The sequence below is a fragment of the Homo sapiens genome, chromosome 3 (assembly GCF_000001405.40).
Source record: "Homo sapiens chromosome 3, GRCh38.p14 Primary Assembly".
Lineage (NCBI taxonomy): Eukaryota > Metazoa > Chordata > Mammalia > Primates > Hominidae > Homo > Homo sapiens.
The window spans coordinates 33,388,154-33,411,886 of NC_000003.12; the positions used below are offsets into that span (position 1 = coordinate 33,388,154).

Genomic DNA, 23,733 nt, shown 5'->3' on the forward strand with positions numbered 1-23,733 from the left:
TTAATGGAATAACAACATATCCTCAGTTGCATCAGCTTTCAGAAAATAAACTGAAAAGGAAAAAACTATGAGCCTAACCTCTTACTACATTTAGACTGGCTCAGAATACACACAGGGAAACTCCTTGATTCTATGACACGAAGTGACAGTAGCAGGAACTGGGATTTTAAATGAGACACACATTTGCAAAACAATCAGAAAACATTTATTATACTGAAATGTGTACATCCTACTATTAAAAAAACAAAGTAACAAATTTGCTGGTGCCAAAATTTATTTAGCCTGTTTCACTGGGACAAACTCACGTTCAATGCCACTCAGTATAATTTCAAGTCTGATAAGCATCTAAGTATTTTTACCCCGCTTCTAAAACCTGATGAGGAATTCAAAATAAGCACACAGCATTAAATGACATTTATTGTTCCATAAATCTTGAGACCCAAAAAGGAATGCTAAATAGACAAGCAAAACTTTTAAAACAAACGAGATAAACTCACTTCTTTCCCCAGTGACTGGTACAGAAAACATGTGGTCACACGAAAGCAAAGGGAAAAAGTCAGAAAGGAAAACTCTCTGCCTATAGGATCTATAGGAGTTACAGATATTTTCAAATCGATGATGAAAATAGATCGTGCTTCTTTGTAGCAAATAATTAACCCCCTTTATGAATAAAACATAAAATGTCAAAGCTTTTACTCACTGAAGTAGTTTGTCTTCTGGGAGAGATTTCAAACTCAAAATTACTCATTTCCTATTTTTTGCCTGAACACAATGAGGATCAAATAGTACATTCAAATCAGGACACCTGGGTATATGGACAAAGATATCCTACAATTAAAATGGAATAGAAGTTAAAAAAAAAATTCAGTCCCCTACACCACAGGCCTCAAACATGCTTGCTGATGGATTCTGGGAAGGTTTTGGATGAAGGACGGAGATATGGGAGGAAAGTGAGAAAACAGTGGATTCCCTTTGAAAAGTATGCTAGCAGACAAGCATTTGGTTTTATGAAAGAGGCACTCTTATAGAGAAAGAAGCTAGTATGTGGTGTATAAAAAGCCCCTAAATCATCACCAGAATGTCTATCCATGATTGTACTAAAGCTCAATATTTGAGAGGCTTAAGGGATTTGTATGGTACATTTTAGTGTTTGATTGATAACATCTAGTGTTTCCAGAAAAAAATTCATCTTGTTCATAATGAAGATCCCTTAACACCTAGTCAGAAGCTATCAACAATAATACTTTCTCCCCCTACTTGGGTCACCTATTTCCAATGTCTGGGGTAGGGCTTTAAAAATGTTTAATAGGATGGTGGGGGTGGGGGGTTAGGGTGGGGGTGGTCAGAGATGGAGGGAGAGAGGGAAGAAAATGAGAGAAAAACCACGAGTTTAAAAGGCAAGGAATCTCCAAAAATGAAAACCAGAAACTAAAATGCTAAAAATGGAAGCAGAAGCAAAAAAGTTTTTCAATAAATCTGTGACAAAGCCAAAACACAAAAGTCTTTGTACCTATTAGGATTTACACTGATCCTCTCACCAAGGTACTCCTGATAATGCAGTTTGCTTCAAGCCCATCTTCCTGGCTTGGATCTTCTCCAATCTGGCATGATCATATCAAACGTACACCCTCAGACATGATTTCTTCCAAGAAGGTGCCGAGCCTCTTACCTGACCACCAACGGCCACATCAGCACAACACAACTCTCCGCATACAGATTCACTGCTGGCCCCACAACAGCACTGTCCCCCATCTCCTCTCCAGGTCAGCATAAGGTTCAGGCAATAAAAGCCAAACTGGCACAGAAAGGTAAATGCCCACAGTAAGTTTCTACATTCATTTCCAAACCGCATACAGTGTAAAAAGACAGCAAAGGCTGCTTCTAGGAACTGTATTTACTGGCCTCTGCCAGAGCAGCAGGCAGCTATGCCTGCACCGTGGCCTCCAGAGCTGGATGCATGCTGTGCCGATGTGCTCACTCTCATGAGGATGCTTGGCTATGGCAGTGACAGTGAGGAGATTCACCTCTCATACAGCTCATTAGAAAGGTCATCTTGTGTTTTCAATATGAAACATTTCATATGGTAAAATCCAATCCCAAGACTTCTTGGATTCAGTCTTCACACACTTTTAAGCGTGACTATTTGGTACTGAATACAGTTCAGTCTATATAAGACATCACTTCAAAATTATGTGGATGCCATCACTACTTTCAGCTGCAGAAAAAGGAAAGACAGTATTTCTTCAGTCAGGCTTAGGAAATTAAGCCTATTAAATGGAAAACTCCCTGCCAACTACAACCTCCCTTCCCAATTCAGAGGTTACCTTTAAATGATTCTAGAGAAACAAGCAGATTAACTTGCTCTAGCTCCTCTTCCCCCAAAAAACTTCATGTACACATTCCCTTTTTAGACATTCTGCGAAGCCTGGCCCACTATCAACGCCCGCATTCCAACACTGTCTGCCAGTTCTGGGGGTAGGGGGACATCTATCAAGACACACAATAATAGTGCTGTCCATAAGGGGAGCAAGAGCTAGAAGGAGAACAGGTGAAATATACTGTGTCAGGGCAGAGGACCTGAGGGAGTAAATGCAAATGTGTACATCTACCTTTTCCAGAAAAATTTCTGAGCTACTCACAGAGATTTCAAACATTTTAAAACTGTATCATTCCTTTTGCCTAGTGTTTCTCAGTAAATAGTGAGAAGCAATATAGGCATTCATAAAAAAATGATTTTTCTCATGACGACAAAGTTTAAAAAAAAAAACAAAACAGTAAATTGAGATTAGAGGGGAGATCCTATGATTTCTAATACCAAAAAATGTCTGCTGGTTTCACAAAACAAAACTATGCAATTATAGTATATGTCTTCTTTTTCAGACAATGTCAGTTATGCAAGGTAAAAACTGTACTGCTGTGAAAACAAAAGACTGAGCAGAAGGGTACTAGGCTAAAGATGTTTCTGAAAGAGTGAACCAGTTCAGAGTTAAAACTCAGCCTTGCAGGTAACCTGATGGCATACGCAACATGTGAGGCGCAAAATAAAATCAGTATTTCAGTAGTCTGGGGACACCTGACACACATGACATCTCCCTCTTCTAGGGGCAGCTTTTGTGCTAAGACCGGATTTGGATCTTAGCTCACCTGACTTTTAAAACAGTCTATGAATGTATGATCTCTTCTCAAATAATTTTACATTTAGGAATCCCTCCTCTTTAATGTTGGAGCCACCTAAGCCTGGTCCTGGCTCTTTTCATATTCTCTCCCTAAATGACCTTAACAACTTCTACAGCTTTGAGTCACTGCTGATATGCTGAAGGTTTCCAAATTTACATCTCAAGCCCAGGCCTCTTCTCTGAGCCCCAGACTGGTAATAGTCAACTGCCTACTTGACATTTCTACATATCCAAAATCAAACTCTTGGTTGATTTACCCCAACCATACTTACCTCTTCAATGAGATCACCATCTGCCCAGTTACTTTCCACAGAAAATAAGGTGTCAGAACTATTCCTCCCTCAAAAGTGGAGCCCACTGGGACCCTGTCTATAAACGTGTAAGATACCATCACCTTTCACCTGGATATCTCCTGCCTCGTTTTGCCACCTTCTCATCTGTCTCCACAGAGTTGTGAAAGTGAAAGAAAAATCTAGTCACATTACTACTCCTTTGTTTAAACAACTTCAGTGACAACCCAATGCATTTCAAGTAAATCCGAACTACCATCATCATCCGGTCCCCGCATGCCAGACCCGGCCTCCTGCTTTGATTTGCCCTGATCCGCTCACCCTCACACACTGCATGGCACCTACATGGCCCACTGCCAGGCTTTCCAAGAAGCCAGGTGTTTTCTTTGCACACAGCCCCACGTTGCCTGGGGATGCTAATCCAATGGCCAGCTCCCGCTTCTTCTCATTCTTCAAGTCTCAGGATTAATAACACCTCCTCAGAGAAGCCTTGCCTTACAGTTTCATATTCCCCTCAACCCAGATCTCCCTTATCCATAAGTACCCCCACACTTTCCTGTTCCTTCATGGAACTTAACATATTGGGAATTTTGTGTATCTCTTGGCCAATTTTGGTTTGCTTTCCCCAATAGGAGTTTCATGGATTCTGTTTTATTCAATAGATCCACTGAGCGACAGAAGCACGGTGTCTGACACAAAGTGCTCAGTAAGACGTTGGCTGAATGAATTGAGATTTTTTTTTCCAGTCATCTAGAAAGACTGACTCCTCTTCCTTATATGCTAATTTCTGTTACAACCACTAGAAATATTCTCATTTATCAAACTTTCTTCTTAAAATGAGTAAAGCAATCATTTTAAAGAATAAACACGAGAGGCACTAATTAGAGGCACACACCATCTCTCATGATTCCAGCATTTTAAGACACACACACATGCAAAGTACCTTTTACTGTGGAGAATAAAAAACAACTCTCATCTTGAAAATTCTGAACCATCTGGAAGGATAAAGTAAATGCGTAAGTACAATTAAGATCCAACTGTCGTTTCTTAAAATGATTTTAAAACAGTAAATATTCTTCTCAAACAAACACAGGACTCAATGGCCAAAACGATAATTCATGAAGGCAGTGTGAGGCAGCAAAGATGCACACGTGCTGCACTGCCTTGTGTTCACTATGCCTGTCCATAATGGTCCCTGAGAGACCTGGTCAGTCACCCATGTGACCCACAGGGGCACATTCCCTGCCGGCTCCAGTGGATGATGACTCGAACAAAAATTGCATAAAGTGCTCTTCTATTATTACTTGCCACCAATCACTAGGGGAAAAATTATATATCTTACATGTTTTTTTAAATTAGTCATCAAATAATAGACAAAAGGAAAACACATCCAGTGACTCACCTCATAAAAAGGGCCAAAGCCTGCCACTATCCCTAGAGTGCCCCAGTGATTGGCTGCATCCTAAAGGGCTGGGGGGAGGCTAAGCCAGTTTTCCTTGGCTTGTATTCCATATTATCACTAGGATGCCTGAAACTCTTGGTTATAAGTTCTTCCAAAGTGATTCCCAACTCTCTGAAAATGATTCTCATAAGTATTTTCAAAAGAGGTCACAGAATTTTTCTACAGTTCTACAATTACATGTATAAAAGTAAATACCAGTCTGAAAAGGAAAAACAAATGATTTGATTTACCTGATCACTAACAAGAATGTGAATACCGGTGGGACCCTGTCTGTAAACCTGATTAATTTGGTGGAGAGGGATATTAAACACCAGCGCAAGTTTTCGAGCAACTTCTGAGGCAATCATTTCTTCCAAGTAGATTGCATGATAAACTGAAATTAAAAAAAAAAAAAGAAAAGCATTTTAACAGTAATCTTTGATCTGTTTTCTGCCTGATCTGTAGGATCTGTACGAAGGTCACACCTTTCAAAGTACCAAAAAAGTAAAAAAACATTTTAAATGGGAATAAACTATTTCTTTCCCCCATCTTACTACCTTGAAATCTTGAACTACCAATCTAAAACGTAAGAATACATTATTTATATCCACAAATATAATTTAATAAACATTAACAGAAATCCCTGGACAAAAAGATTTGAGGTTTGAATTTTTCTTCATATTTTTATTCAATGAATATAGTTTCATGTATTCAAAATTTAAAAACAGGAATTGGCTGCAAATGGACATGGGGGATCTTCTTGAAATAATGGAACTCAAACTGAATTTTGACAATGGCTGCCAAACTCTCTAAATTGGCTAAAATACCATTATATACTTACAATGGGAGGACTTTATGGTATGTAAATTATGCCTGAAGAAAGCTGTTTTTAAAAATAATATATACTTCATGTATTTCTAGCAATATACAAAAAGAACCCTAAAAGAGTCATAGTTCTTTTTGTTTATTTTTTTAAGACAGTGTCCTTTTTTGTTGCCCAGGCTGGAGTGCAGTGACACAATCACAGCTCACTGTAGCCTCTGCCTCCCAGGCTCAAGCAATCCTCCCACCTCAGCCTCCTAAGTAGCTGGGACTATGGTGGGGGCACACGCCACCATGCCTGGCTAATTTTTATTATTATTATTATTATTATTATTATTATTATTTGTAGAGACAGGGTTTCACCATGTTGCCCAAGCTGTCTCAAACTCCTGGGCTCACGCAGTCTGCCCAGTTAGGCCTCCCAAAGTGCTGGGATTACAGGCGTGAGCCAGCACGCCCAGTTAAGCATTATAGTTTTTGATCCAGTAATCCTACTACTAGGAATTTATCCTAAGGAATAAAAGCTATCTGTATATGCCCCTCCCCCACAAAAAATTTTAAATAAAAGATACTATATGAAAAGCTAATATAAACAATGAAGTGTGATGCTTCCTTACAGAAAGCCCCAGCCACATTCCAGTGTTCTGCATTTTTGCTACACAGAACTTATCAGCAGACATCTGCACAGTGCACATCTGTAGTGAGTCTCACTCTTGTACGTCCTGCTCAATTACTGATTAAAGCCAGACATGGATCAGGAATATCATTACTGAGAACTTTGCTTCCCCAAACAAGGGGTCTGTGAGTATAGAAACCCAGAATTTTCCATTACATAAAAGAAGCTGGAACTAAAATTACAGTAAGAATATAGAAATGATCTAGAGCAGGTGTCACCAAACCACAGCCCATATGGGCCAATTCCTGCCCTCCACTTGTTTTTTTTTTTTTTTTTTTTAAATAAAGTTTTACTGGAACAGCCTTATCTACAATTTACATATTGTCTATGGCTATTTTAGCACTACAATCACAGAGTTGAATGTGAGAGACCCTATGTATGATCTAAAGAGATGGAAATATTTACTACCTGACCTTTTACAGAAAAAGTTTGCTGATTATGGGAAAATATCCAATATTTCCCCATATCCCTCCACAAACACTCATGTTTGAGAATACACCTTCCAAAATATTATAATCTTGGCCATATCTAAGTGATGTATAAGCTCTTGATGATACATGGAGATCTCCTTTAAATTTTTATCCTTTAAGAATTTGTATACTTAATCTCAAAATTCAGAGCTTTTGAAGTCAAAATAATACCAAATAGAAAAGTTCACAGTAGTGATGCTATCCTTCCAATTTTTCAGTAAAATTCAAACCACAAGACATTTTTCAGAGCTCTACCTATTCTTAGGGCAAATAACTGCATCTCTGAATGCCATTAACACATCTTTTTTTTTTTAAAGTTCTGAGCATGTTGCCTTTGTTCTACTTCAGAGTATGGAAAGAAGGAAATGTTACCATATATCCATACAATAAATGAGAAAATATATGCCTTTTAAAATGCTTGCTTTTTTTAAGGGCCATATTTAGAGGTGAGAAGAGGGAGAAGCCAAGATTATCTCTGTCCTAATCCAGCACTATACCGTACAATTAAATGCTCAGGATGAGAAGCCCTCCCAAGATAACGTACTGGGTAGTATTATTTACAGTGACATAAAAACACGGCACCAGACGCGCCACACAAGGTGCACAATGCTGGCCGAACACTTGTCAGTGACAAGTCCACACACTTAGGACTATTACATGCAGGCACTGTTGCACATATGTTATGCTTTAAGAGTTCTCCCCATACCTAGTCAGGAAAATTGAAAAAAAAAAAAAAAAAAAAAAAGAAAAAGGAAAGAAAAACCCTCCTGCTTTTTTGTTAAGCTGCCAGTGTTATATTCATCATTTCAGTAAATCTGACCAAAAAAAAAAAAAAGCCAGAACTCAATGCATTCAAGCTAGTTTTTCCACTTGTTAGATATTTCCGGCATGAAGGGCCACATGAAAAACAGACCCATAGTGTGGCTGCAATGACTGAGAAAGAATGCCAGTTTCCTCTTCTCCCAAGGACTTCACCCTAGAGCTGCCACCTCTCATTGCTGTCAAGGCTCCCACATGAGCAACTTGGCATTCCTAACACAGCAAGAGTTCTCCAAAGCCTGCTCAATCGAGTCCTTTCCGTTTCTGTCTGACAGTCTCAGAAGTGACAGAATTGAGATGCCCTCAATACCTACCATAGGGTGCCCCACTGCCATTCTCGCTTGCACTGCTTGCAGCTTGCTGCTGCCCTTGCAGCACTGTGCTGCTTGGCTGCTCCCGGCAGACATAGATGGTTAAACGGGGTCTAACCGACCTGCAATCAGAAGATGCCACTGATGAGCCTGGGAGAGAAAGCTGCCTTACACATGTACAAATATGACAACTACAGGAATCTAAGTTCTATTTCCTTATGAGAACTTTATAATGTTATTTCGTTATACAAAGTAATTTACTAATAAAAATATAAAAACCACACACCTCACACCAACTATCACAGGTGGTCTAATATGATGATCCAGACTCTAAACCATTGAGATGGTCTGTCAGATGCTGGTAAATTTAAGTTTCAAGATTAAGTCAGCAAATTAAAAATCAGTAAGATTCAATTTTAATGGAATTCTCACACCACAAGTATAGAAAGAGCAATGATAGTAAATGGTTCTTACAAGCCAGCACAATTTACAGTTTCTGTCATTTTAATTCACAATTAGTTTACATTTTTAATAACTGTTTAGTAATAGTCATGACCTTGAAAACCATAGATTCTGTATAGCTCACCTAAATTAGAAGTTTTGTTTTCTTGGCAACAAACCCAGTCGTCTTCAAGAAATCAGTACTGCCCATGTGCATTTCTACCAGTCTTACAGTCTACCTCTGCCCTCATCAGTGCCTGCATCATATCTGGGCCTGCCCTGAAGGTGTACACAAAACAGTCTTCTTGTGAGCACAATGCTGCCAATGCTCGATGGCGCACACAGGCACACACGCCAACCTAGCGTGGAAACACATTCTGCCCAAATTCCCCACGCGAAGAAAGGTACATTCTTATTTCAAGCAAAACAGTTCACAGTATTTTACCTTGACTTCAGTGAATTATAGAGCCGAATTCCATCGGCTGCACCACAAATTTGAACTAAATCCTCCTTTGTCAGTTTTAATAAGTCGGCACCTAGAGAAGAGCAAAAATATTTTTCTCAAATAAATGGAAAAAGAACAGAACTGCTTTACAGGCATCTGTCTTCATGCAGTCCAATGTCCTTCAAAATAATCAGATATCCTGAATACACACATACACATGAACAATATAAGAAGACAAACAGACACCTGTCCTTCAGAGCCAAGGAAAATGCTGGCTTTTCCATGTCCTGTATCAAGAAGGAGCTTAGAAGTCCTGAGGCTGATGAATCAAATCAATGAGAGCAGGGCCTAAAGAACTCTTCCCGATATAGGATTTCACTCATCTACCTTATTTAGTGACTGGGTTGTGGCTATGTGAAGAAACATGATTCTAACCCACCCCACAGAAACAAACCCTGAGATCACCCGGGCCAGTCAATCTTTAATTTTAAAAAAAAGGAAATGGAAGTCCAGAGTTTGTGGGACTTGCCTAAAGTCTGTAAGAGTTGGTAGCCGAACTAGGACTGGGCCTCTTTATTCTGAAACGTGCAATGTAAAGTCAAACATGTTAAATTTTATAACATAAACAACTCTGTCACAGCAGCTAATTTTAACAGAAGAATGGCAGAGAATCACACATTATACCCTAAGATTTCCCCCAAGCACATCCTACTTACGATGTCATTTACAAGTGTAAATGTCTCTCTATACAGGTTTCCTATAGCACCACCTAGAGAAGCAGTGTTTGACACTTTTAAAAATTCTATCTGAACACTCCCTTCGCTTACCATACAAGAAAAAAAAACTTACATATAAGTATAAAAAAGCCATACCTGAGTACATACACACCATGAACTACTATTCAGTATTTCAAGCATAAATGATATGGCATCTAGGATTTGCTTTGAAATACAACAGAAGGCAGGAGAGGAAATAGTGGAGAGCAAGACTGACCAAATGCTGGTAGTTTTTGAAGGTAGGAGATGGCTGCATGGGAGTTCATCATATTCTCTCTACTTTTTAATGTCTGAATGTATCCATAATCTTTTGTTTTATTCTCTAACACCCAGGATACAGTTTATTGGGGGAATTAAGATGAACTTTGGGATGAAGGCTTGACTTCCATATGATAAATAGCCACTTACATATGTAGAAGATAATGGAGTCATCTTTCTATTTTTTAAAGGCTCAAATGCAATAGCCTACTAAATTTCTAGTCTGTAAAACAAAGATCAGAGAAGCACATCTCCCATGAGACATGAGCATTAATAGAGTCATTTTATAGAGTCAGGTAAGCAAAGAGGCTCTCTTTCATCTCTCTACTAGGGCTTACTACATGCACCTCACAGTTGTGACCAGAGAGTACTGTGTATGTGTGTGCACACCCTTAACCCATACAGAGAACTGGACAGATAACTGCAATGTACAACCCTTCCTGAAATGTGAATGCCCCCAAGGATCAGAGCAAGAAGACTCACTGTCCTCCTCACCATGCTACTGTCAGTGCTGTGACTCAGGAGATGTGCCCAAAGGGTACCATGGCTAGCTCCTCGCCCACTTTCTTGGAAGAAGCCCCCAGGATAAGGAAAAGGCAGAAGGCCACGCCATGTGATCACTGCTCACAGCGAAAGGGATTAAAACTCACCAGATAGAAACATGGATTTGCCTGATGTAAAAGGAGTAATGTGGGGCCTCCTTCAGTTCCAAATGTCGGCGCTTTTTCTATGTGCTATGCTTTTCATCTGCCTTCCATACAACAGTGCAAGACAAACCCCAGCTCCCCGACCCTGAAATTTTACAATTTCTAGTTTTTCACACATAAAAGGCTTTACTTAATCATATAAAAATGTAGTCCCCAGCTAGCAAATGACCTCCATAGGGAACTTTAAAGAGACAAAGAAGTACACGGGGAATAACTACTCATTGCACAAACATTACAATACGTGGCATAGTAAGAAACCATGTTCTTAGCAAAATCAAGCTTTTCTTCAGGCTGAGTGTGTGCACACACAAGTTCTGTCCTCTTAAAGGGATTCACAAAGTTGTGTTTTAATGGCCCTACTGCACTGCAGGTGAAGGAATGCTAACTACCACTTTACTGTGATCCAGCACTTCTCAGGATGTTTGGCCAGGCCATGTTACTAGGTGGTCATGTTGGAAAAGAGTCCCAGAGCCAAATATATTTGGGAAATGCTACCTCTGCCCCACCTGTCATTATCTATTACTGTCCCTCTAAACAGGTTTCCTATAGCACTACCTGGAGAAGCAGTGCTTGATACCTTTTAAAATTCCTTCTTAACATTCCCTTAGCTTACTGTGCAAGAAAAAAAACTTACCCATAAGTATATAAAAACTGTAATTGAGTACACTCAGACTATGAAACACTACTTAGCAGTAAAAAGGATTAAACTACTGATAAACACAACAACTTAGGTGGCCGTTATGCTAGTGAAAAAAAGCCAATCTCAAAAGGCTATATACTATATGATTGCATTTATATAACATTCTCAAAATGACAAAATTATAGACAGAATGTAAAGTGGTTGCCAAGGACTAGGGATGGTGGGGGAAGGGTGTGGGTGTGACTCCGAAGGGGTAGCAGGAGGGAGATCCTTGTAGTGATGGCACAATCCTGTCATCTTAATTGTGGTGGTGGTTACAAATATCTATACCATAACATACGTTGTGCCAATGTCAGTTTCCTGGTTTTGCTATTGTACTATAATTATGTGAGAAACGGAGTGAAGAGTACACCGAAATATCACTGTACTAGCTCTGTAACTTACTGTAAAACAAAAATTATTTCAAAATAAAGTTAAAATGAAAAAAATCATGTAAAACTATATACACCTACACACAAATGAGGTCACGTAAGTCTGGTAAAACTGCTGACTGAACCAATGTCAACTGCCTGGCTTCAATAGCATATAATAAAAATACAAGATATTCCTATTGGGGGATAGATATAAAGAACTTCTCTGTACATTTTTCTTTGCAACTTCCTATCCATAGTTATTTCAAAATTTTAAAAATATAAAGTTAATAAAAGCACAGAAACAAAAACAAAACATTCTCATGCACAGATACACACACACATACACATACCTGAAAAATTAGAGAACAGTCTTGTGTAGGAAGAGAATCTGTTTTTGAGCAGCCATTGCTGTGTTTCCTGGATCGTAGCTGAAGGCTGAATTTGCTATTAACAATGAAAATGAACATAAATAAAAGGAACCATTCAGACTTAGAACATTTAAACAAAACACAGAAAGCCTCGGAGTCTGAAGTAAAAAACACCCAAAAAGAGCATGAGTCTGACTCCAGCAACCCAAATGATGCAGGCCCTTGTCAGAAACTTAAACATGATACACAATGGGATGCTATTCAGCCATAAAAAAAGAGAAAAATCATGCCGCTGCTAATGAAATCACCTTTTGCAGCAACATGGACAACATGAACATTTCATTGTCTTAAGTGAAATAAGCCAGGCACAGAAAGACTTATATTCTCACTTATATGTGGGAACTAAAAAAATTTGAACACATGAAGGGAGAGAGTGGAAAAATAGGTAACAGAGACCGGGAAGAATGGGTGAGGGATAAGAGAGAGGATGAGAAGAACTGGATTAAAGGGTGCAAACAAACATACAATAAAACAGAAGGAGTAAATTCAGTATTTCGTAGCAGAGTAGGATGACTATACCTAAAAAAATGTACTCTACTCAGGTGATGGACACCCAAAATATCCTGACTCGATTACCACACATTACCATACATGTAACAAAACTTCTCACCTACTCCATACATTTGCACAAAAACCAAAACTTTAAAATGTAGAACCCTGAAAGCATCAGATAGTTTTAGGAGAAAGATACTTACTTCACCAGAGGTCTGTGAAGCTCCATCTCCCTGATGATTTGGGGAAGAAGAATTGCTGGGGAGAAAGGAGAAAGAAGGAAATGATGATTTTTATAATACATATATGTTTTAATCAAGGCATTAAAAGCTGTTGCATTGTAACTATGCAAATTTCAAGTAAGGCAACAGTGGGAGACAGCTATGAAAGTCTGCAACAAAATGCAAGCGCAACAGCTTAGGGTGTGGACATGATGACGAAATTAAGACACAGAAGACTGTGTCTTAATTTGTGCCTTCTTCATCTGTACTAGTAAGAAATTCAAGTTTTGTGAAACAAAAGGGCTTCCCCAATTATCTTCAGGGATGCCAAGGAAAATGAAGGATACACATTAATTTTTAAAAGTTAGGGGAAAAAATATGAAACATCAAATTAGATAAATAGTTGAAAATAATTGCAAAAAAAATGAGCTACAAGAAATAGTACAATGACCCTAAGCAAAAATATAAAATGATACTCCTTTAAGTAATACATATATCCAAGATTGATGAGGGTGAATTTCAAGAGAACAAAAGAAATTAACTTGTACCACTATCCTTGTGCTTCTAAGTAAAATGAAATGAAAAACAGCTCCACAGGGAATAGGGCTACCTTCTGGCTCTTGAGCACCGACTCCTTTCTTAGCCCCCGTGCCTCAATTGCTTAGGTTTATTATCTTGATTATTTATATCCTTTCTACCCATAAGAACTTAAGCTCCTTCAGACGGGGGTCTGTCTGTTTGGGCACTAATGTATCAGAACACTTAGAACAGTGCTGGGAACACAATAAGTTCTCCAGTCTACTAGTGAGTACATAAACTTACAGCTCACCTTTAAAGCCATAAGCATTTTCTAAGATTATTCAGACCGGACTGACTGACTAGGAAACTATTCTAAGCCCTCAGACATGGTAACCTACTGGTCCTCTGGTCACTCCTCTAATTTTCTGAGTCCAAGGCTATTTTTCTACTCTTAAAGCATAATAGCCTACATGACAACAAGCTGCCTTCTCAGTTTATCCATCTCCTCAGGGGGAGAGCACATTTTTGCTTGCTTTCTCATCAGACCTTGTCAGCATGACCGGAGAACCTTTTTCTTTGTGATCTTAGCTTTCATAATTTTCCTCCCCAACAAGAAACTTCCTAAAAATAGGGAACTTCTGATGCTAACTACTCTGCATTAGTTCTGCAGCAAAGCCCTAGAATGGAAAGCCGCCATGGGGTACTGCTGTACCTTCAAGATGCCCCAAATGCAGTCTCTTGCTCCCACCCTGAGCTTACTCTAGACTCTTGCCAGTCAAGGCTGGATAACAGAATAAAGAGTCCACCATTTCCATTTCTAAAACCACAGCAAGTCTGTAGAAACCGAAAGGTCTTCCTTTAAAGATTTAATTAAAAAAATAGCATATCTATTGGGAGAGAAAAGAAATACTGCAGAAAATAACCCATTTGATATAAGCATTACAGACAAGTGAATGAACTTAGTAATAAACTCACTTTGTCCCTCTCTCTCTACCTATAGACACTGTTAATGTTGTCTTTAATCTTACAAAGAATATATCTTGGCTATGTCTTGAAAATGGCGCCTTGTCTACAATTACCATAGTTGTGACTATGTTAAGGCACAAGGGGCTCGGAGTAAAAAAGGCTGGTAGGTGAAGAAAAGACAATGATTGTCCTCTGCCACCAAGATACAGGATACTTCCCCTTACTGTTTCCTTTAGGTACAATACAAACAAAAGGCTGCTGTACATGGAGAGATGGGGAAATGAAGGCACATGAGCATTAGTTAGCTGCAGGCACACGATCACACAAACTAGATACCTGTCTGGGACACTGCAAGTGCTCTGCTGTGGGGAGGTGAAAGTGGGCGCTGGGGAAGGGCTGTTATTCACATAGGCTGTGGGGGCATCGGGCCACGGAGAACACTAAGGACAGAAACAGAAATAAATTAGTGATATGCTTTTAAAATATGTGGAAGAAATATTTTTGTAATTCACTCACTAACCAAATGCAAGATTATAAAATGCGAGACAGCTGACATTTATCAAGCAACCTCACAGACACATGTCAAATTTACTTCTGTGTGGCAAAGAAAAGTTTTACCTGCTGTGTGCGTCTAGACACTGATTAATCTTAGAGAAGACCTAAAGTGATGACAGCAGCAAAAATTTATAAAGGCATTTAAAATATATGCTTAAGTATAATTGCTTTGAAGAGCTTTCTCCTCCCTCTTTACCAGTATCCTCTTTATCAGTTTCCCAACAGGCACCTATCAAGATTTAAGAATGGCGAAGACAAGAAAGGATTTATAAGCAACATCTGACATCACATGGTGACCTGAAACATGGCTCTGACCTAGCTAGTGCTCCTTTTGCCCTCTTCCCTAATGAGCAGCCTCACCAGTACCCATTTGCTTCTCTGATACCTCTAAAGGTTAATAATCCTCAAGACAGACCAGACAGGCCCAGCATCAAAATACATCAACTGTGTACAGTACTACATCTATCTCTATCTATCTATCTATCTATCTATCTGTCTGTCTGTCTGGTCTGTCTATCTAATCTATCTGTCTGTCTGTCTGTCTGTCTGTCTGTCTGTCTGTCTGTCTATCTATCTATCTATCTTTCCTTCTTTCTTTCTTTTATATTTTCTGGAAGGGTTATGGTGAACTTTAATATTTTTCAGCTCCAGGCAAAATTCTGACCAGAAACAGAACAAAGACACGGAGATACACTATTACAATTAGGAGGTTGAAAAAGTCAGTCAAAAGCATGCTAAGCATGCCAGAGTAATCTCAAATACAAGTCTTCAGACTTGAGATACAGACATCACATGGTGTGATTTCACTTTACAGGTATTCTTTCTAAAAACCAATGGATCTGAGGACTCAGTTTCAAGGGTCCCCTTTCATAATCATCCTTCTCTCATTTTACACAAGAAAGGCATCACATCTAACTATAGCCCTGGGGTTTAAGACTGTCCCAGGCTGGACACGGTGACTCATGCCCCTAATCTCAGTGCTTTGGGAGGCCAAGGCGGTAGCCCAGGATAGCCCAGGATAGCTTGAGCCCAGGAGTTCAAGACCAGCCTGGGCAACACAGTGAGACCCTGTTTCTACCAAAAAATAAAAACAATAAAATAAATATAATGAGGCCGGGCGCGGTGGCTCACGCCTGTAATCCCAGCACTCTGGGAGGCTGAGGTGGGTGGATCATGAGGTCAGGAGATTGAGACCATCCTGGCTAACATGGTGACACCCCGTCTCTACTAAAAATACAAAAACTTAGCTGGGCGTAGTGGCGTGTGCCTGTAATCCCAGCTACTCAGGAGGCTGAGGCAGGAGAATCGCTTGAACCTGGGAGGCGGGGGTTGCAGTGAGCCGAGATCGTGCCATTGTACTCCAGCCTGGGTGACAGAGCGAGATTCCATCTCAAAAAAAATGAAAATAGATAAATAAGTAAATATAATGAAGACTCTCCCAAAGCCAAGCTAAAGATAATAGGATTAAAAAAAAAAAAATAGCCAGGTATGGTGGAGCACACCTGTAGTCACAGCTACTTGGGAGTCTGAGACAGGAGAATTGCTTGAATCTGGGAAGGGGAGGCTGCAGTGAGCCATGACTACACCACTGCACTCCAGCTTGGGTAACAGAGTGAGACCCCCATCTTGAAAAAAAGGAAAGAAAAAGTACATAACTCTAATGACTAAGTTTTTCTGTAAGTCAGGTGATTTTCAATTATTTGCTATCAAAATAATTCAGGAGGATGGACCTATTGTCAACTGACATATATTGAAATAATCTAGTAGATCACATAAAAATGTCCCTGGGATTTTTGACAGATGATTCAAAAGGACTTCCAGGACCTGAATGACACTACCGAAAGAAAAAACAAAATTGCTCATATGTATAAAATTCTAGAAGTTATATTCTATCCTGTCTCATCATTCAAGATGCATTTCCAATAATATTTCTATTTTTACATGTAATAAATATTCATCAAAATCTGTAGGATTTGTTGTTTTGATAAATTGGTACTAATAAGTTTTAAATATCTTGACTGAGTTAAGAGGCTATGGTCACAGCAAATTTTAAAAATTAAATTTCAATTTATGTAAATTTGTTGTAAGGCAATTTTTTTAGGGTGATCATTTAAAAATTTCAGTTTCATCATTTGAAGCCTCAGGAATAAAAAATAAAAATAAATAAGAAAAAAATTTTTAAAGATTTTCAGGCATAAAACTATGTCATATTAGGATAAAATTTAAGGGGAGTGAAATACAAACATGAGACCAAGAAGGAAGAACAGAGTAAAATCTTGGATTTAATGAATTTTTTGAATGAACAATAGCAGTGGTCAAACTGCCATGGCATTTAGATTCCATAGGATGCACTTCAAGAGTAATGTCACAGTTTTATCTTAAATTGTAAACGCAAATCACCACCACGCCAGAACATTGCCTCCTTTGCAGCTATTTAAATTTATGATGAAAAAACTTTATGATGAAAACTTTCAGATGTCAATCTGGAAAGGTGCAAGTATATCCTTTTTCAAAATTCTTTTGAGGCCAGGTATGGTGGCTCATGCCTATAATCCCAGCACTTTCGGAGGCCAAGGTGGGAGGATCATTCTGAGGCCAGGAGTTGGGGATCAGCCTGAGGAACACAGCGAGAACCTGTCTCAAGTGTCTTGGATCACTTGAGCCAAGGAGTTTGAGGTTGCAGTGAACTTTGATCACACTACTGCACTCCAGGCCCAGGTGACTGGGCAAGACACTGTCTCTAAAAAAATTTAAAAATTATTTTGAGTAGGTAAGTGTCAAGACCACTGGTGTAATGGAGCTAAGAAACTGTGAAGCACACTGAGGGCAGAAATTAAGTCTCACCAATGGCTACAGGGGCTTAAAACGCTTGTCTGACATCCATCAAAAGCAATGGATACATGGAAAATAATCTCAACTACCCAATTATGTATCTCCTTAAAAAAGAAAAATGATTGCAGACTTATTACTTCTATTATCAGTCAGCTTTCAAAAAAGAAATCTAATTTAGCTGGAGAGCTTTGAATAAACTTATTGCATGGCATAGCAACTTTGCTATAAATTACATTTTACACAACAATGCCCATTCTTTTAAAATTAGGGCCTTTTAAGCCAGGTGTGATGGCACACACACACCTGTGGTCCAACTACTCAGAAGTCTGAGGCAGGAGGACTGCTTGAGGAGATTGAGGTCAGCCTTGGCAATACAGTGAAAGCCCATCTCAAAAAAATAAATAAATAACTAAAAAACTAGACCCTTGTTTTTCTTTCCACCTTACAAAGTATCACCTCCTCAGTTTACACTGTTTGATGAACCCAAGACCCTGTGAGCTGACTAGCAAATCTAATCATGGGTATCACACACTGTCACCTCACCTCTACTATCTGAAAGATTTTCCTGCTACAACATCCCCCTGCACATATAAAACATAACACAGCATAACATACATGTATAAATAATGTAAACCATTTAATATTAAAAGTATCAAGTCTCTCTAAACTTTTTGTAATTATTGCCAGCCATTTGAAGAAATGAAGCCATCAAAAAGCTTCAAGTTAGCATGGCAGAGTAATGTAGAAACACCAAGTTTACCAAAACTCCATAAATACCCATTTTGCTTTTAGATATTTAGATTCTTCTAACATTCGAAAAGCAAGCGATGGTGCAGTGCCTATGCTCCTGAATTCATAACGGCGCTAGCAATGCCTGGCCTGGGCTCATAGTTATGGTTTCGGTACACTGTGAACACAGTCCCTCCCCAGGTAAAGAATGATCACCCATTTTAGGCTGTAGAAATTGGCAGTCATCATTTGAGCCAATCATATACAGCTCAGAGATGAAGACCAACAGACACACTAAGAGTTTTGTTGTACGGCATCTCCTGGTAACCAACAGTAGTGACTATTCAGTGTGGCACCATTTCATTCGGCATCTTTTCGACTCTAACAGTAAGTCTGGATATCCCTTTTTACTGAAAGCCAATTGTAACTAGCCAAAAACTCTATGAAATGTTGGCCTTCCTTTGTAGGAGTTTGAAGAAACATATGAAATTCTGCAAACTTTCCTTTTTAAGTGACAATCTGTACCCTGCATTTTTAAAAACAGGTTTTCAAGATGAGCTCTAACCACCCCTAAAAGCATCTGAACAAAATCAAATACAGCCAGGGCAGTAAGCAATACATGAGGAAGATGTGAAATCCCAGGCCAGTGAACTGCTGACGTTTTGCATACTTTAGACTTAAGAATCATTAAGAATTTACCAACAGTTTTCCCATCTTCAGATTACCTCTGGGCTATAATGAATTTCTTTTATTTAGGAATTACCAGAACCTACTTCTTTATTAGTTAAATGGTTTATAACAGGAGAGGAAAAGTGAGTTGCCAGAATCCCCCCCAAAGAAGTTTACTAAGAACCATTGGTGGGTCTTCAGCTGAGAAATCAGAAGAGGATAAAAACAAAATTGCTGGGGCGGGTGTTTTAGGAAAGAATATACAGCTGTTTTAACAATCTTTGATTCGAATTTATTTAAAAAAAAAAAAAAAAGCCCAGTTAAAGAAAATGTAACGTGTGCTTCCAGTGGCACTAGGATGAGTACAATTTCAGTTTCATTGCATAGAGAAGCATTAAAACATTTTTATTCGATACTATAATTGGAAATGAGTTTCTTGTGATAGTGCTTGTGACAGTAACATTCAAAGTCTACATTTAACCACAGCAATTGCGATATGTGTAAGAATGAAAAATCCTCTGGTACTTTAATAGTGCAAAGACTGCAACAGTGAATACAGCAGTCACGAATACATATGATGACAATTATTTTAAATGATTCTTTAATGTTCTGTGTTTATATTTACTGAAGGTATGTAGCTGATCTAAGTTTGCAAAGCAGGATCATCGTTTGTGGACTAATAGATGAAGAGTCATGTCATAAAATAAAGATTTGCTATACTTAACTGGACAAAGCACATATTCAACCAGATGCCCCCTGACTGCATATTGGGGGCGGCCCAGGTCTAGGTGTAGCAAGGTACACTACTTTGGCCTGAAGCATTAATTCACAATGCAACTGCCAAGAAGAAACATGAATCCCATCAGAGTTTTTTTTTTTCTACCAGTGCTGCCAAACAGGCTCTTAGAAGCATAGACAGACACACATTTTTATACTACATGCAGAAAAATGTAACAAAGAACTGCACGTGTTAATGTCAAGCTTGCTGCCATCATCTAACTGTCCACAAAATTTTATCAAGTATACACATGAGAAAGCAAGACCCTTTTCAGTTACACAAAAATAATAGCTAATTTACTAAAGAAAGTATTTTCAATTAATTTCAGTGCTCTTGAAGGAGGTGTGTGTGTGAAGGAGAGAGGGAGGGAAGGAGGAAGGGAAGGAGTCAGGGAGGGAATACATATCTCTGAGTGTCTTTTTTTCCCTCCAAAACCACCCAATATGGTCAACATTGTTTTTTGCTTTGTTTTAAAGTGTTAGATTTAGGAAATTTTCCTCAGTGAGGAACAAACAGAAGCAGGAAGTCTAAACAAAAGCAAATTAAATCAAGACATGGACATCAAAAACAATTTTGGCTTTACTTTGCGGTGGAAGTTGGTCCTATATCTAACACTGCACAAGGTTTCTTGCACAATGAAAAGAGAAGCAGAAGTCCCTTACACTGCCTCGCTTTGCCAGAGAATCACCGTAGTCTGCTGGCAAAGTCCGCTTGCTGGACTTTTTCTGCTCATGTTCAACTGCATCTTCAATTATAGGCTCAAGCCTCATCTGGACAAACACCAAAGATTGGGATCAATGTCTTTTCATTATACAAAGAAAGATCTAACACCCTGTTTCATGTCTCTTCAGTCCAATTAAACAAATGCATGACTAACAGGATTCAAAGTTAAAAAAAATGCAAAACCCCAGCAGTGACAAAAATTGGACTTTCTAGGCTCCAACTTAAGTCTCTTGCCAACTTCAAAGTTTTTAAGGTCTGTTTCTAAGACCTCATTGGGATTTCAGCATCTTCATTTAAGATCCCACCCAGGAAACAGTCTATCAAAATCCCCAAATTTAAATATTTTCCCCAGAAATTTCACAGAGAATAACATGTCAAACTGCCACCCAATCTTCCCCAACCCTTTTGTAGCAGAACTCATCTTAGAAATAGACTAATATGCAACCTTTGCTTCTCTTCCAAAACCAAATGCTTTACTACATTACCTCTGTGAGGATTGTGGTATCATAGGACGGCTGATACTTTTCTTTTTCATGAGCTGTTCTCTTCTCCATCTTCTCTCGGTCAGTTTTTTGTTTCCTGTCTGCACCTTTAGGCTTAAAAACAAAGTATACTATTTCATCTATCAGGCTGCAGACACACAGCTTTACAGGCAAAACTGAGCCTTAATTACAGAAAACCCGGGTTCTCTGTCTTACCTTAAAAACTTTGATTTGGCAGCTAGCTGAGTGTAGATGATCTGTGTATTCTCCATTTTCATTCTGCTTAAAGGTGTCAACCTGGATCCTAAAGGGCACTCCCTTTTCACCTCCGTGCTTCCGTGGAGTAAATTCTGTGCTGATGCAGTGTACCTATAAAACGATTCAGGCTGAAATGGATTCAAAGAACTTCCACTGGTTATTTTTCTATTTTGTTCCCTCTTGAGTGACCTGACACCACTATAAATTCAAGATCCTTTAAAATAAACTCATCACACATATTAGCCAAATTATCTATGAACCTAATTGTTTTTAAGATATGGCTTCCCTCTCACAAATCCAACTGAGCCTCTCCAGACTTTCTGAGCTCTTGCCCATCACAGTGCCTCTCCTCTAATGCAGGACTTGGGTCCAATCAGGGGTACAACACTACAGTAGCTTCCTATGTATACTGCCCACCTCCACCTTGGACTGTCTGCTCATCTCAGACCCAGGGTACTAAGCCCTGTTCAATCCACAGCAATCTTCACTTCATTGTTTAGAGCTTCTGTTGTTTGCCCTCTACTGCCATTACCCCTATTCTACCCAGCCAACTATCTTACTGCTGTTCCTACAGATGCCAATTTGTGATACTTTGCCTGGGGAAATTTTACAGTCCAGAAAACCCACTACCCATCCTATTCTGTATCCATCTAAACTCTTTGGTCAACTCTTCAAAGTCCATTCAGGATCCAGAGGGCAATACTCATCTTCCACCACTCCTGCCCTGTCTCCTAATACCCACCCTGGATGACAGCCTTAGGGTTTCACACAGAGTTAACAGCAAGACCTTGGTCATTTCTGACTGCTGCACATCCCCCTCTTCTAATGACTCACTATTAAAACTGATCTCTGCAATATGACAACACAACCTGATATGTAAAGCCAGGTCTTGTATCACTTTGATTTACTACATAACTAGTTGCCTTATAGACAAACACCAACAGTATGAGTTTACATCAATATTCAACGGATATAAACCATGCCCCCAGGGATTAACTGATGGAGAATAATATTGGTAGAATACCAAAATGCAAAATACAAATGATTTTTTACAGTTCATGCAAAGCATAGCTTATGAAGGCTGGTCAGCAAGTAAGTGGTTTTCCTTTTCTATATATTACCTACCTGGTAGTTTAAATTCCACCACATACAAATTTGAACATTGTGGGTATTAGAATCACTATTTTTTTTAAACACAGAATAATGATATTATAGTTACTTTTTAAAACTCATCTCTTAGAGACATGATATTTATGGATGAAATGGTATGCCTGAAACTTGCTTTAAAGTACTCTAACAGGCTGGGCACAGTGGCTCACACCTGTAATCCCAGCACTTTAGGAGGACAAGGCAGGTAGATCACTTGAGGTCAGGAGCTCAAGACCAGTCTGGCCAATATGGTGAAACCCCCATCTCTACTAAAAATACAAAAATCAGCCAGGCATTGTGGTGCACACCTGTAATCCCAGCTACTCAGGAGGCTGAGAGATGAGAAGAGCTTGAATCTGGGAGGCGGAGATTGCAGTGAGCCGAGATCATGCCACTGTATTCCAGCCTGGGTGACAGAATGAAACTCCATCTCAAAAAAAAAAAAAAAAAAGTGCTCCAAGAATAACTAAAAGGGGGCGGAAACTACTAAAAACTGCTAAAGCCAGGTGATGGTTACATGGACAATTAGTCATCATTATTATCCTATTTGTAGAGGTTTGAATTTTTCAGTATTAGAATGTTTTAAAAATAATGCTAGAAGGAATTTTAAAACCTCAATCTTTTTTCAATCGTATCCTTTTAAATAGCAGCTTGTGTTCAAGAGAAATACATCTCATGAAAAATAGACATTTTCATTATTGGGACTACTAGTGGTAAAAATAACATTTGAATAATGCTTTACATATCATAGAATGTCTTCATATATGTTAGTTTAAAATAGGGTGAACTTACTAGATTAAACCTAACTATGTATATAGAAAGACACTACAACATAGTTTATAAATAGACATTTAAAGGAAATGATACTGTATCAAAAATTCAATCCTACCATGACCTAAATAACTAGGTTAGTAAGCTTCTAATAATGTAAAAATCCAAACCTGAATGAAAGCAGAGGTGCGTTTTGCTGGGTCCCACAGAAATTCAACCGCATTTAACTGGCTTGGATTCGTCCTTGTGTCAATTATTCCCACAGACATTGGAATATCTATGTTTTAAAAAGAAGTTACATAAAAACATCCACTTTAAATAACTTAAAAAACTTACAACTTACTATATTATGTTCTAATGAAATAACTGTAACTGCTTTGAACTCTGTCTTTCAATGGTCTCCATGATCAACTTCTTCAACATCGAAACCCACCCTAAACGAATATCATCGTTTCCCCTACCATGGTTTGTATTTC

At 38.8% G+C, this 23,733-nt stretch overlaps 2 protein-coding genes across 16 annotated transcripts in view; one reads left to right on the forward strand and one right to left on the reverse strand.

Annotated features, from left to right (window-relative positions):
• FBXL2 (F-box and leucine rich repeat protein 2) overlaps positions 1 to 23,733 on the forward strand; it is a 145,674-nt gene that overhangs the window by 111,129 nt on the left and 10,812 nt on the right. For 6 of the 8 annotated variants that reach the window (NR_146129.2, NR_146125.2, NR_146124.2 and 3 more), the window contains one exon: positions 15,081 to 15,509. The exons of the other annotated variants lie outside the window; for them this stretch is intronic. The gene's annotated coding sequence lies outside the window, so the exon portion shown is untranslated. Of the gene's footprint in view, positions 1 to 15,080; positions 15,510 to 23,733 lie in introns of those variants that run through there. 8 annotated transcript variants of the gene reach the window in all.
• Positions 183 to 23,733, reverse strand: part of UBP1 (upstream binding protein 1) — a 53,064-nt gene continuing 29,513 nt past the window's right edge. For 4 of the 8 annotated variants that reach the window (XM_047448846.1, NM_001128161.2, NM_014517.5 and 1 more), the window contains 12 exons: positions 23,428 to 23,534; positions 21,296 to 21,448; positions 21,083 to 21,193; positions 20,537 to 20,644; positions 14,648 to 14,751; positions 12,809 to 12,863; positions 12,036 to 12,129; positions 8,892 to 8,982; positions 8,009 to 8,127; positions 5,159 to 5,301; positions 4,410 to 4,461; positions 183 to 2,215 (listed from right to left, as the gene is read on the reverse strand). In XM_047448846.1, the coding sequence (XP_047304802.1) occupies positions 2,178 to 2,215; positions 4,410 to 4,461; positions 5,159 to 5,301; positions 8,009 to 8,127; positions 8,892 to 8,982; positions 12,036 to 12,129; positions 12,809 to 12,863; positions 14,648 to 14,751; positions 20,537 to 20,644; positions 21,083 to 21,193; positions 21,296 to 21,448; positions 23,428 to 23,534 (1,175 nt within the window). In that variant the 3' untranslated portion in view covers positions 183 to 2,177. Of the gene's footprint in view, positions 2,216 to 4,409; positions 4,462 to 5,158; positions 5,302 to 8,008; positions 8,128 to 8,303; positions 8,364 to 8,591; positions 8,726 to 8,891; positions 8,983 to 12,035; positions 12,130 to 12,808; positions 12,864 to 14,647; positions 14,752 to 20,536; positions 20,645 to 21,082; positions 21,194 to 21,295; positions 21,449 to 23,427; positions 23,535 to 23,733 lie in introns of those variants that run through there. The other 4 variants (XM_047448847.1, NM_001128160.2, XR_007095724.1 and 1 more) reach the window with 3 other exon arrangements.